This window comes from Homo sapiens, chromosome 5 (genome assembly GCF_000001405.40).
Source record: "Homo sapiens chromosome 5, GRCh38.p14 Primary Assembly".
NCBI lineage: Eukaryota > Metazoa > Chordata > Mammalia > Primates > Hominidae > Homo > Homo sapiens.
Window position 1 is genome coordinate 62,880,084 of NC_000005.10, and position 15,946 is coordinate 62,896,029.

Sequence of the window (15,946 nt, forward strand, 5' to 3'; positions counted from 1 at the left end):
TAGCCGGATCTCTGGGTGATTCTAATGTGATTTTTTTTTTTTTTTGAGATGGAGTCTCTCTCTCTCTTGCCAGGCTGGAGTGCAGTGGTGTGATCTCAGCTCACTGCAACCTCTGCCTCCTGGGTTCAAGTGATTCCCCTGCCTCAGCCTCACAAGTAGCTGGGACTACAGGTGCGTCCCACCGCACCCAGCTAATTTTTGTATTTTTAGTAGAGACGGGGTTTCACCATATTGGTCAGGATGGTCTTGATCTCTTGACCTCATGATCCATGTGCCTCGGCCTCGCAAAGTGCTGGGATTACAGTTGTGAGCCACCGCGCCTGGCCTGATGTGATTTTTGACTGTATCCCAGATACACTGAATTAGGTGATCCTGACAGGTAAAAGTCAAGGCTGAATGGAGACATGGGGTGAAATAGTATAGGACATTGTGGGCAGTGTACCTTCTTCTCCTTATTCTCTGCTGCATCTAATTTACTATAATTGGCCTTTTAGGTGGAGAGGAGTAAGTGGTAGTATGTGAGTTCATCAAGGCACTTGGATGAAACCTGACAGAGAATCCCTTCTGTATGGGAATTCCTAATTTATATTCATTGTTAGTAGAGAGGTAAGTCAATAGAAAGGAAAGTGAGATGTTGGGAGGAATGGTCTCTATCAGAATCATGCCTTTTTCCTTCTTATCAATATCTCAGAATTTGCAAGGTCTTTCGAAGAGAAAGTTGATGCAACTTCTGAGGAGATGGCTCAGTACAAAGTACACTGAATTATTACCAAGTCTTAGTAGGACTGTGGGTTGAGTCAAGTAATCATCTCACAGAAAGAAAAATAAGCTTCAACAGAGCTAATCCTGACTGAGTTGAGAATTCCTAAATGAACTGTAAAATTATAACTGTGCAAAGGGACTCCATAAAGGCCATGTTTATGTATATATATTTGGCAAAGCCTGAAAAGCACAGAGAGTCTCCAGCTCTAATCAGCCCATTTAAAAATTGTGCCTACTAAAGCTCTAGTATAATAGACCATTTGATCCTTATTTTAAGAGAACTAAAGGCTTTCCAGATTCTGCACAGGACTTTACTCTGTGAATAGGTCCTTAGTGTGCAATTAGTCACTTTTGTAGCCATTAATTTTAGACCACTTATTGCAGAATTATTTGTTCTCAAGTCTGCCTGCCAAAAGTACATATGTGCTAAGGTGCTTATTGTACTAATTAATAACATGGCTGAGAATGATGAAGTGATCTGATGGAATGGTTCATTTTTCAAATTGGGGGCTCCCAATTGGGGGATTAATTCAAAGATGAGTTTTTGCCATCATACTCACAAGTGAGACTTTAAAAAGTCTGGAAGTGCGGTGCTTGTACCTGAGAACTGGGGTTAAAAAGGATTTTAGAAGACACTTCCCTGACAGAGAAGGCTGAAGAAGAAGACTGTGAGAGACAGCAGCTGCCTGGCAGGGTTGGCCTTAAAGCTCTCTGCATTAGTCTCAGGAGGTCTCATGTTATGCTCAGTAGAGTTTAAATGTAGCCAAGATATTGGAATAACACTGAAGAAGAAGAAACACACATGTCAAATTATAACTTTGGGAATCATTGATTTTATGCCCAGGAAGGGAGAAGATTTTGGTAATGGGTTCTGAAGCCATTGATTGGGCCAAATGCTGGAGGGAAGTGGTGAGAACACAACTAAAGATGTATGGTTAAGTTGTGTTAAAATCTGTCCTGTTTTAAACAGTCATAGTTCATGGGTTTATTTTTGTCTAGTACTGTGTTCTAGAGGTAAAAATTTGGTATAAATTATAACTTGAAGAAGGAATTGCCAAAGATTCTTTCCTGAGCTGGACCATCTGGGAAGAAAATAGATACATTGTTTATAGGTAGGAGAACAGGCTGGTGAGATGGCTCCCACCTATAATCCCAGCACTTTGGGAGGCTGAGGTGGGAGGATTGTTTAAGTCCACGAGTTCGAGACCAGCTTAGGCAATATCGTGGAACCCTGTCTCTACAAACGATAAAAAAATTAGCCACGTGTGGTGGCCTTGTGTCTGTAGTCCCAGTTACTTGGGAGGCAGAGGTGGGAGGATCGCTTGAGCATGGGAGGTTGAGGTTGCAGTGAGCTGAGTTTGTGTCACTGCACTCCAGCCTGGGCAACAGAGCAAGACTCCATCTCAAGAAAAAAAAAGATAGGAGGACAATGTTGTTCTAGAGTTTAAAGCACCACAGATTGTCTTTCTGAGATAATCTAATGACCTCAAAATACATTTGGTACTAGACATGTAGAAAAGCTAGACCTACCTTGGAGGACCTATGAAGATTTGTGTGTTTATCGGACCCACAAACATATTATATTATTCTCAGCCATAACAGCCTCACTCTCTGGGGCTTTTAGAGTGATAAAATATTAGGCAGTTACTAGATTTTGCACATAACTTTGACATCATAGTATTTTGTTTTGATGACTTGTTAGCTAATTGTTTGAGTTGCAGGATTACAAAATGTGTGAAGCAGTACAGATTTGATTTTAGTGGAAAAGGCCTAATAATGGAATAAAATGCAAATTTGTTTCTGTAAAATATAACCAAGGGACAAGTAGTAGAAATCAAACTGAATCCTCTTTAGAAATATTTCGTTTCTTGTACTTTCATCTCTATTAGCACTTTACATGTTCATTTTTTCAGTGCTAATTTAAAAGAAAATTTAGCTACATTAAGAATGAATTTAAGACCAGGCGTGGTGGCTCATGCCTGTAATCCTAGCACTCTGGGAGGCTGAGGTGGGAGGATCACTTGAGGCCAAGAGCTCGAGACCAGCCTGGTCAGCACAGCGAGATCTGTCTCTACAGTTATAAAAATAAAAATTAGCTGGGTGTGGTGGTGCATGTCTGTAGTCCCAGCTAATTGGGAGGCCAAGGCAAGAGGATCCCTTGTGCCTAGGAGTTTGAGGCTGCAGTGAGCCATGATTGTGCCACTGCACTCCAGCCTGGGTGACAGAGTGAGACTGTCTCAAAAAAAATTAAATTAATAATTAATTTGAGTTGGTGTTCATGGCAAGCCTGTAATATATTCATTAGAGTGGACATTTAAGTGTTCCAGTTACTTCTGGGCATAGGCATTTTTATAACATTAGATAATCCTTCTATTTACCTTTCTTTTATTTTTTTTAAAGTCTCTTAAGTACCAAAAGATCAAACCCAAAGGACTAAAGTTGTTTATGTAACTCAAAAGAAACTCCAGCATAATATAAAAAAGATGATAAGTCAGGAAAAAGGAAACCACTGTCACCACTCTCAAATTAGTCTGTTCAAAATGTTTACTGTCAGGATCATTTTTCCCAAGGAACATATACATTTTCCCATTCTCCTGTTACAGCTGACATTTTTTGAGGTGGGGGGGAGGGCGGAAAAAAATTTATGGAATTAACCATTATTATAACTTTCTGTTTTTCTCATTGTATTCATCAATTTTTTGATTTTAAATATTGTGAAAGATAAAGAGAGGATCAAATAGTTTATCTTCACATGAGGTAAGACTGTTTATGTCTGATAATGAGAGTTGCCAGTGTTGTACCTTCAAACTTTTAGATGTTGCATTTGTTATTGTTTAAAGAATAATCCGTGGAGTGATTCTAAAATGTACACAGTTGGTCCTTCATATCTGTGAGTTCTGCATCTGTGGATTCAACCAATTTTGGATTGAAAATATCCAGAAAAAAATGTGTTCGTACTGAACATGTACAGACTTTATTGTCATTATTCCCTAAACAATACAGTATAACAACTATTTATATAACATTTGCATTATATTAGGTATCATAAGTAATGTAGAAGTGATTTAAAGTATACAGAAGGATGTGCTGGGTAATATGCAAATACTGTGCCATTGTATATCAGGGACTTGAGCGTTGATAGATTTTGGGATTTGAGGGAGGTTCTGGAACCAATCCCCTGCTGATACCAAGGGACTACCTATCGTATGTGCTTTAGGGAAAGTTGTAAAGTGAAAACTTTCTGATAGTATTTTTAAAGCATTTGAACATGTCATCCAAATTATCCAAATGTGTGCATTTTATAGTATAATGATATCTCATATTTAATCATGCAGAAGCACCTTCTGTGGAATCTATGAATTTTAGAGGATTTTGGAGAGTTTTAACAAGAGAGACATTTTGTGTAGTGAAGAGCGCAATGAACTGGGAGTTGGTCTGTGGCCTCTTCTGAGGATGATTTTTTCCTACTTTCTCAGGCAAAATTAATCACAGTATTGTTAACCTTGAGGGGTGGTATGACTGAAGGGGGCTTCTCAGGTGCTGGTTTTGGATTGTGGCGCTAATTACACAAGTGTGTTCATTTTATGAAAATGATTTATATACTTATGCATGTATGTAACACTTTAAAAAGTTTTAAAAAACTGCTGTCTAAAATTTAAGAGGAAAATACAGTTATGGCTTTGATAACAGCAGCAACAAAATCATGTCCATCCTATTCCCACTGCCTCCATGCACACCTCCACTGTTGTGTTTTCCACATTGTATTCTAATAATCTGTTATGATGTCACCACTGTCAGACACATCACCAGGGTAGAGAAGAAAGTGGCATTGCAGGAAATGTCTACAGTGGTGCCTGGCAGTAGTGTACTTGTCATGTAGAAAATTAAGAGATTTCACTATGGGGTGGCTAAGACTTTTTCTAGTTTGAAAATTCTGTGAGAATATATTAAAAATACAAATATATATGTACCAGAAATATATTAGAATGTTAATAACATCCCATGGTGATTGAAGTTAGTGAAAATAAGGATAACTAAAAAATAAAAACTACAAATAAAAGATGGTTTCAAAATATAAGTAGGGCTTCCAATTTATGAAACTAAAAATTGAATTAATCTTCTGAGGGTCATACTTACTAGTTTAATTCAACCTTGCATTTTCTGTTAGAGGAAAGCATTTTATATAATTTGAACTTGTGGTGATAAGGAAAAAATCAAAAGCAATATTACTTGAAAGTAGACTATGGTAAGTTAAAGATGTATGCTATAAACATTAAAGCAATCAGTAAATTAACACAAAAAAGTTATAGCTAATAAGCTAACAGTAGAGATAAAATGAAATAAAAATATAGTTAATACTAAAGAGGGAAGAAAAAGAGGTACATAGGACTGAAGAACAAATGGGAAAATAGAAAACAAATAGGAAGATGATACATTTTAATCCAACATCAGTGATCACAATCATTGTAAAATAGAAACTATTTTCAACTGAATAAAAATAAAACATCAGATGTAAAAATTTTTGCTAAAGTAACTGGCATAGTACTCAGAAGGAAATTTATAGTTATAAATACTTATATTAAAAATACACGTCTGAAATAAAAGAAACTAGGAAAAGAGAGTCAGTTATAAGCAGAGCAAGCAGAAGAAAGGAATTAATGAAAAGAGTAAAAATCAATGAACTAGAAAACAGAAAAGCAATAGAGAAAATCAAATAACCCAGAAGCGGATTCTTTGAGAAATTTAATAACATTGATAAACCTCTAGTCATACTGAGAAGGAATAAAAGGGAAGATACAAATTACCAATATCAGACTTTACCACAGATTCTACAGATATTAAAAAGATAACAAGGGAATCTCAGGAATAACGTTATGCCAACAGATTCAAAGACCTTGAGAGACACCAGCAGATTCAAAGACCTTGAGAGACATGAATTACCAATTTCTCTCAAGAAGTAAACTTGAGATAGATATTCCTTGTGAACATAGAGGTAAAAAACTCTAAGCTAACTGAATCCAACAACATATAAAATTAATAAGACGTCATGTCCAAGTGAAGTTTATCCCACGAATTTGTCAGTTTAACATTTGAAGATATCAATTAATGTAATTACCCATTCTAACAAATTAAAAAGGAAACACCATGTGATTATTTCAATAGATTTTTTTTTAAAAAAGCATTGAACAAAATTCAGCACTTGTTCATGAATAGAAGGGAACTTTTTCAACCAGGTAAAGGGCATCAGTGAAAAACCTACAGCTACCATTGTACTTAATGGTGAAATCATATATATTTATAGCTTAAGATCAGGAACAAGGCCATTATACCTGGATGATGAGATACATATTATAGATTAAAAAATATCTGAATAGCTTCCTTTGGCTTTTGGCATTTTATCAACATGATAATAACAATAATACAAATAAAAATCATGGCTAATATTTATTGCATATATATTATAATATTGTAAGTGCTCTAAATACATTATCTCATTTAACCCTCACAATAACCTTTAGTTATCCTCCCTATTTTATAGTTGAGTTTTAAAGACATTAAGTAACTTGTCAAAGTTCATATAGATGGTCAGTGGAATTCACATCTTCATAACTCCAGTGGTGATATCCTTCAGCCAAATAAAACAAAAATCTTCACTCAGGAAAATTTTTTTATAGTAGCTATTGATAACAACTCTGGTCTGAACTTTATTTTTCTGTTAGTTCATTATTTTTGTGCTATTTATTGCTGGATAAATCTCAGCTGATGTTTAGCATCTTTGTTTTATCCATGGAGACTCCTTAGCTACCTGCTTCTCTTGAGCATCTGGAAATCCTGGGTATTATTTGGGACCTGGGTTTACAGAATTTCTCGTATCATGCCTTGAACATACGAAATTAAACTCCTACCCACACTCTAGCCTTCTTTCCCACTCCTCCCTCCACCAACTACCCACGCCCATAAGGTTAGTTATTTTCCTTTGCTCAGTTGACAGCTTGGCTAAAAATGAAAAGAAAAATTCCACTGCTTGTAGCTACTAGCCAAGAGAGAAAGACAAAAAACACCCAATTATCTGGAACTAAGGTAATTTTTTTTCTGTGTTTATTATAGATATGTCCTTACTCCCATTTCAGTGTTGGAATAACTATGCTTCTGCAATTGACTGCCAGATATTATTTTTTGGAAGCCTTTAAATATTTCTGGTTTTCTTCCTTCCAGGCCCGTGATAGGATTGTGTTTCTTGGCCACGTTGTGGTTGAGTGGGTTCTGGCTAATGAGTTGTGAAAAGTGATGCATGTCACATTTAGCTGTTGATGTGAGACCATTGGAATTCCTTTCATCCTCTGCAAAGTGACCTGCAATGTAAGAGATGGTGGCTCCTTTATCAGCCTGAGTTCCTCAGTGATGATGATAAGCAGCTTCTCTGTCTATCTGTGGCTGGACATATAGTCTGAGTAAAAAATTGATCTTTTTTGTTTTAAGCCATGAAAACTTTCTTCCACAAAAAGGAGGGTATTTGTGGGAATAGATGTTATGCTTCTATAAAAATATTTTAAAATGTGGATATTTTAAGAACTAAAATCGTAGAGAAAATTTATAGTTACACCTTAAAATTTTTTTAAAGGATGTAGTGTGGTAAAGCAGAAAGCACATTGCCTTTTGTGTGACATTAGGGTCAAGTCAGCTTTGCCACCCCAAAGTCAAGGCAGGTAACTCTCTGAGCTCAGTTGCCTCAGCTGAAAGGGATATGCCTATGTCTGCACTGCTGTAATTTTTAAGTGAGACCATATATGAAATGCCTAGCATGAGAATAATAGTAAGTAACATTTGTTTAGTGCTTGATGCATGCTAGGCACTGGTCTAAACCCTTTATACATATTGCTATGGACTTAGTTGTCCCCCTGCCTCAAAATTTGTATATTGAAGGCTTAACCCCAGTGTGAATATATTTGGAGATTGTGGTCTTTGGGAGGTAATTAGGGTTAGATGACATCATGAGGGTGTGGCTCCTCTGTTGAGATTGGTGGCTTTATAACAAGAGGAAGAGAGAGAGAGACCACTCTCTCTCCACAATGTGAAGACACAATGAGAAGGTGGCCATCTGTAAGGCAGAAAGAGAGCCCTTACCAGAAACCAAATCTTGCCAGAACTTTAACCTTGGACTCTAACCTCCAGAAGTGTGAGAAAATAAATTTCTGTTGTTTAAGCCACCCAGTCTATGGTGTTTTGTTATAGCAGTCTGAGCAGAGTAATATTATTTAATCCATTTTTTCATCACAACCCTCTGAAGTAATTTCTATTATTATCTTCTCTCTACAGATAAATAAACTGAGGTATGGAGAGGAAAGTTATTTGTGCAGGGTCACACAGTGATTCCAACCCAGGCAGCCAGTCTTTAAGCCCATTCTCTTCACCATTGTGCAATACATGAGAACACAAGTATAAATTTCCAGTTACAAGCTGTTAGTAGAGTAATGCACACTTATTAGGGGGAGACACATTCCAAGACCCCCAAGGATGCCTGGAACCTCTGTAGTACTGAATCCTACATATACTATGTTTTCTCCTACACATACATCCCTATGATAAAGTTTAATTTTTAAATTAGGCACAGTAAAAGATGAACAGCAAATAATGAATTACAAAATAGACCGCATAACAATATACTGCAATACTGCAATAAAATTATGTGAATGTGATCTTTCTCTCTCTCTCTCTCTCTCAAAATATCTTATTGTACTGTACTCACCTATTTTTGGACCTCAATTGACTGAGGGTAACTGGAACCTTGGAAAGCGAAACCATGAATAAGGAAGGACTAGTGTCCCGAAAAACTCACTATCCAGGAGGATAGTGGACAGCTCAGGGAGTGGTCCTCACATTTCATGTTGCGGCTCCTCATAGGTACAGGGTGTAGTGCAGCTGGTATAGTCATTTGGTTTGCTCATTTATAATTATAGGGTAGAAAACAACGCTTGTATTGTGTTTGAGCCTGGAGAATGGGCCTCTATTTGGGAATGTGAGGTGGGGAGACAGATACCCAGAAAACGTAATTAGGCTTCCTAAATATAAGATAGACTAGAAGAGTCTGAATGTGGGCTCTTTGTGCCCTGGTGTGAGTAGCTGCAGAACAACTCCTAGCAATGATGCTCATGATCTTGAAGTCAAAATTCTGAGGAAAGTGAAATTTTGTACTCAAAAGGTTCCAAGCCTATGGGGTAATTGTGCATTCAGTGATCCTCTCATCCTATCTCTAAATGCAAAGTCGGTCTTCGTGTGGACATGATGCTAATGTCACTCTGTTTCCTCTGCATACAGATAGAGCATGCAGAGGACCCAGATGTATTTGTTGTGACTTAAGGACAAGGCTTCAGTAGGAGATTATATTAATCACCAACTCATAGGCCTGTAAACTTGAGTTCTATGTAGTTAAGTATACAGTATTTTTCATAAACACTAAATTAATTGCAAACGTTTTTTTATTGTCATCATTTTGGAGAGATTTATCTTTCAAAGCAAAGAATTATCTCTAACTCATAAATTTGGTCCATGCTTCACTTAGAGGAGTGTTTGTTTTTCTAACTCTAATCCTCAGAAATCAGCCATGAGGTTCCCAAATATTTCAATCTTGTTAATGACTCGCTTTCAATTCAAATCCCACTTCTCAATATCTCTTTGAAATAGTTGAGAAGCCCTGTCATTTTTCAATTATTCCTAGTATGGTAAGAGGATTTGAAGTTATCTGTTAATGAGCCCTGTTCCCCTCTGGTCCTTCCCTACAGCAATTCTCCATAGCAGGGAGGAGGTTGATACATGGCTCTAGATTTGGGGAAGGAGGGTGGACTAAGCAAGTTTGAGATAATGTTAAGACTGAAATAGAGGGTCTTTTGGTCACAAGCATGCTACCCTCAATTCAGTTCTCTAAGGGTAGGTTGATATTTGATGTTCAATGTTAGAAAGAATATAAAAATATGGGCAAGACAGCCCCCATTTACTTAGCACTCACAATGTACAAGCCATTGTTTACCAATCACATCTTATCATTAAATCCTTACAATAACACCATGAATAAGTATTACAGTAATCACCATTTAAAGGTGAGCAAATGGAAGCTTAGAGGGGTTAATAACTTGCTTACTTGAGACATAAGGTTGCAAAGCTGGTTAGTAGCATTGCTAGGATTTGAACCTGAGTGTGTCTGAGCCCAAAACCTTAGTTTTTAGCCCCGTGCAATGCTCCATCACCTAAACAGAGAATATTGGGGAGAATCAGAGCAGGGAGTGAGAAAAAAGCATTTTCTTACTTCTATACGCAAAAGACAACAAGATCCTCAGTTTTCAACATTTATTCAGCAAACATTTATTAAGCCCCCATAATATGTAGGGTGCTGTGTGAGGGGGTAGTGTGTTAGAGGCACAGTGTTAGGGGCACTCTGTTATGTACACTCTGTTAGGGGCACTGGCATCTTAAGGTGCCAACTCTATTACAACTCTCACCTATGACAAAGAGTCAGAATGTAAACAGAAAGCTCCCTTATCTAATGGAGACCAAAATGCTAAGACAGCAGTTCAAAGTTCTAAATAGTTTTTCAGACTCTCTCAAAGATTTCCTGGGGATATTTCAAAATTCAATTCAATTCAATTCGGTAAGTGTTAATATATTAAGGCTGACTATATGCCTAGCAGAGTGTCTGTACTGAGGATACAAAGATGAATAAGACAACTTCCCTGCCCCTGAAGAGCTCTCAGTCTAATGGGGACTATTTATCTGTTTCAGTTGCAAATGCAGAGATTCTGTTACACACCTAGATAGATAAATGTATCAATGCCTCTATTCCCAATAAGGTTTGAAAAGCATTACATTAAGTGCCTACAATAAAATCCCATGGAGAGAAAAATGTAAAGTAATGAAGAAAAGGGGAAAAAGGTTAGAGTAGGAAAATTACGCCTGGAGAAATTATTAGTACATGAGACTAATATTTCTAATTAGTTTAATGTTCTGCAGAACTTTTCTTTTTTTTAATTTATTTTGCTTAAGTTCTGGGATACATGTGCTGAAAGTGCAGGTTTGTCACATAGGTATACATGTGCCATGGTGGTTTGCTGTACCCATCAACCCGTCATCTAGGTTTTAAGCCCTGCATGCATTAGGTATTTGTCCTAATGCTCTCCCTCCCCTTGCCCCCCACACCCTGACAGGCCCTGCTGTGTGATGTTCCCCTCCCTGTGTCCATGTGTTCTCATTGTTCAACTCCCACTTATGAGTGAGAACATACAATGTTTGGTTTTCTGTTCCTGTGTTAGTTTGCTGAGAATAATGGCTTCCAGCTTCATACATGTCCCTGCAAAGGACATCAACTCATTCTTTTTTTATGGCTACAAAGTATTCCATGGTGTATATGTGATACAGTTTCTTTATCCAGTCAATTATTGATGGGCATTTGGGTTGGTTCTGAGTCTTTGCTATTGTAAATAGTGCTGCAGTAAACATACATGTGAATGTGTCTTTATAGTAGAATGATTTATAATCCTTTGGGCATATACCCAGTAATGGGATTACTGGGTCAAATGGTATTTCTGCTTCTAGATCCTTGAGGAATTGCCACACTGCCTTCCACAATGGTAGAACTAATTTACACTCCCACCAACAGTGTAAAAGTGTTCCTGTTTCTCCACATCCTCTCCAGCATCTGTTGTTTCCAGACTTTTTAATGATCGCCATTCTAACTGGTGTGAGATGGTATCTCATTGTGGTTTTGATTTGCATTTCTCTAATGACCAGTGATGATGAGCTTTTCTTCATATGTTTGTAGGACTGCATAAATGTCTTCTTTTTAGAAGTGTCTGTTCATATCCTTTGCCCACTTTTTGATAGGGTTGTTTGATTTTTTTCTTGTAAATATGTTTAAGGTTCCTTGTAGATTCTGGATATTAGCCCTTTGTCAGATGGATAGATTGCAAAAATGTTCTCCCATTCTGTAGGTTGCCTGTTCACTCTGATGATAGTTTCTTTTGCTGTGCAGAAGCTCTTTAGTTTAATTAGATCCCATTTGTCAATTTTGGCTTCTGTTGCAATTGCTTTTGGTGTTTTAGTTATGAAGACTTTTCCCATGCCTGTGTCCTGAATGGTATTGCCTAGGTTTTCTTCTAGGGTTTTTATGGTATTAGGTTTTACATTTAAGTCTTTAATCCATCTTGAGTTAATTTTTGTATAAGGTGTAAGGAAGGGGTCTGGTTTCAGTTTTCTGCATATGACTAGCCAGTTTTCCTAGCACCATTTATTACATAGGGAATCCTTTCCCCATTGCTTGTTTTTGTCAGGTTTGTTGAAGATCAGATGGTTGTAGATGTGTGGTGTTATGTCTGAAGCCTGTGTTTTGTTCCATTGATCTGTATCTCTGTTTTGGTACCAGTAGCATGCTGTTTTGGTTACTGTAGCCTTGTAGTATAGTTTGAAGTCAGGTAGCTTGATGCCTCCAGCTTTGTTCTTTTTCTTAGGATTGTCTTGGCAATGCGGGCTCTTTTTTGGTTCCATATGAAATTTAAAGTAGCTTTTTCCAATTCTGTGAAGAAAGCCAATGGTAGCTTGATGGGGATAGCATTGAATCTATAAATTACTTTGGGCAGTATGGCCATTTTCACAATGTTGATTCTTCCTATCCATGAGCATGGAATATTTTTTTTCCATTTGTTTGTGTCCTCTCTTATTTCCTTGAGCTGTGGTTTGTAGTTCTCCTTGAAGAGGTCCTTCATATCCCTTGTAAGTTATGTTCCTATATACTTTATATTCTTTGTAGCAATTGTGAATGGGAGTTCATTCATGATTTGGCTCTCTGCTTGTCTATTATTGGTGTATAGGAATGCTTGTGGTTTTTGCACATTGATTTTGTATCTAGAGACTTTGCTGAAGTTGTTTATCAGCTTAAGAAGTTTTTTGGCTAAGATGATGGGGTTTTCTAAATATACAATCATGTCATCTGCAAACAGAGACAATTTGACTTCCTCTCTTCCTATTTGAATATCCTTTATTTCTTTCTCTTGTCTGATTGCCTTGGCCAGAACTTCCAATACTATGTTGAATAGGAGTGGTGAGAGAGGGCATCCTTTCTTGTGCCAGTTCTCAAAGGGAATGTTTCCAGATTTTTCCCATTCAGTATGATATTGGCTATGGGTTTGTCATAAATAGCTCTTATTATTTTGAGATATGTTCCATCAATACCTAGTATTGAGAGCTTTTGTCATGAAGGGGTGTTGAATTTTATCGAAGGCCTTTTCTGCATCTATTAAGATAATCTTGTGGTTTTTGTCATTGGTTCTGTTTATGTGATGGATTATGTTTATTGATTTGAGTATGTTGAACCAGGCTTGCATCCCAGGGATGAAGCCGACTTGATCATGTTGGATAAGCTTTTTGATGTGCTGCTGGATTTGGTTTGCCAGTATTTTATTGAGGATTTTCACATTGATGTTCATCAAGGATATTGGCCTGAAATTTTCTTTTTTTGTTGTGTCTCTGCCATGTTTTGGAATCAGGATGATGCTGGCTTCATAAAATGAGTTAGGAAGGAGTCCCTCTTTTTCTATTGATTGGAATAGTTTCAGAAGAAATGGTACCAGCTCCTCTTTGTACCTCTGGTAGAATTTGGCTCTGAATCCATTTGGTCCTGGGCTTTTTTTTGGTTGGTAGGCTATAAATTACTGCCTCAATTTCAGAACTTGTTATTGGTTTATTCAGGGATTCGACTTCTTCCTGGTGTATTCTTGGGAGGGGGAATGTTTTGGGGAATGTATCCATTTCTTCTAGATTTTCTAGTTTATTTGCATAGAGGTGTTTAGAGTATTCTCTGATGGTAGTTTGTATTTCTGTGGGATCTGTGGTGATATCCCCTTTATCATTTTTTATTGCATCTATTTGATGCTTCTCTCTTTTCTTCTTTATTTGTCTGGCTATCTGTCTATCTGTTTTGTTAATCTTTTCAAGAAACCAGCTCTGGGATTCACTGATTTTTTTGAAGGGTTTTTTTTTTGTGTCTCTATCTCCTTCAATTCTGCTTTGATCTTAGTTATTTCTTGTCTTCTACTAGCTTTCCAATTTGTTTGATCTTGCTTCTCTAGTTCTTTTAATTGTAATGTTAGGGTGTCAATTTTGGATCTTTCCCACTTTCTCTTGTGGGCATTTAGTGCTATAAATTTCTCTCTACACACTGCTTTAAATGTGTCCCAGAGATTCTGGTATGTTGTGTCTTTGTTCTCATTGGTTTCAAAGAACTTTGTTATTTCTGCCTTAATTTCATAATTTACCTAGTAGTCATTCAGGAGCAGGTTGTTCAGTTTCCATGTAGTAGTGTGGTTTTGGGTGAGTTTCTTAATCCTGAGTTCTAATTTGATTGCACTGTGGTCTGAGAGACTGTTATGATTTCCATTCTTTTGCATTTGCTGACGAGTGTTTTACTACCAATTATGTGGTCAACTTTAGAATAAGTGCTATGTGGTGCTGAAAAGAATGTATATTCTGTTGATTTGGGGTGGAGAGTTCTGTAGATGTCTATTAGGTCTGCTTGGTCCAGAGCTGAGTTCAAGTCCTGAATATTATTGTTAATTTTCTGTCTTGTTGGTCTGTCTAATATTGACAGTGGGGTGCTAAAGTCTCCCACTATTATTGTGTGGGAGTCTAAGTCTCTTTGTTGGTATCTAAAAATTGTTTTATGAATCTGGGTGCTTCCTTATGGGGTGCATATATATTTAGGATAGTTAGCTCTTCTTGTTGCATTGATCCCTTTACCATTATGTAATGCCCTTCTTTGTCTTTTTTTATCTTCGTTGGTTTAAAGTCTGTTTTATCAGAGACTAGGATTGCGACCTCTGCTTTTTTTTGCTGTCCATTTGCTTGATAAATCTTCCTCCATCCTGTATTTTGAGCCTATGCGTGTCTTTGCACGTGAGATAGGTCTCCTGAAAACAGCACAGCAATGAGTCTTGTCTCTTTGTCCAATTTGGGAGTCTGTGTCTTTTAATTGGGGCATTTAGCCCATTTACATTTAAGGTTAATATTGTTATGTGTGAATTTGATCCTGTCATCATGATGCTAGCTGGTTATTTTGCACATTAGTTGAAGTAGTTTCTTCATAGTGTCATTGGTCTTTATATTTTGGTGTGTTTTGGCAGTGGCTGGTACTGTTTTTTCCTTTCCATATTTAGTGCTTCCTTGAGAAGCTCTTGTAAGGCAGGTCTGATGGTGACAAAATCCCTCAGCATTTTCTTGTTTGTAGGATTTTATTTCTCCTTCACTTATGAAGCTTAGTTTGGTTGGATATGAAATTCTGAGTTGAAAATTCTTTAAGAATGTTGAATATTGGCTCCTACTCTCTTCTGGCATGTAGGGTTTCTGCTGAGAGATCTGCTGTTATTCTGATGGGTTTCCCTTTGTGGGTAACCCAACCTTTCTCTCTGGCTGCCCTTAACATTTTTTCCTTCATTTCAACCTTGGAGAATCTGAAGATTATGTGTCTTGGGGTTGCTCTTCTTGAGGAGTATCCTAGTGGTGTTCTCTGTATTTCCTGAATTTGAAAGTTGACTTGTCTTGCTAGTTTGGGGAAGTTCTCCTGGATAATATCCTGAAGTGTGTTTTCCAACTTGGTTCCATTCTCCCCATCACTTTTGGGGACCCCAATCAATTGTAGGTTTGGTCTTTTCACATAGCCCCATGTTTCTTGGAGGCTTTTTTCATTCTTTTTTCTCTAATCTTGTCTCATGCTGTATTTCAGTAAGTTGATCTTCAATCTCTGATATCCTTTATTCTGCTTGATTGATTTGGCTATTGATACTTGTGTATGCTTCACGAAGTTATCGTGCTGTGTTTTTCAGCTCCATCAGGTCATTTATATTCTTTTCTAAACTGGTTATTCTATTTAGCAGTTCCTGTAACCTTTTTTCAAGGTTCTTAGCTTCCTTGCATTGGGTTAGAACATGCTCCTTTAGCTCAGAGGAGTTTGTTATTACCTACCTTCTGAAGCCTACTTGTGTCAATTTGTCAAACTCTTTCTCTGTCCAGTTTTGTTCCCTTGCTGGCAACGAGTTGTGATCCTTTGGAGGAGAAGAGGTGTTTTGGTTTTTGGAATTTTCAGCATTTTTGCACTGGTTTTTCCTCATCTTCATGGATTTACTTTGGATGGGGTTTTGTTTGGGGG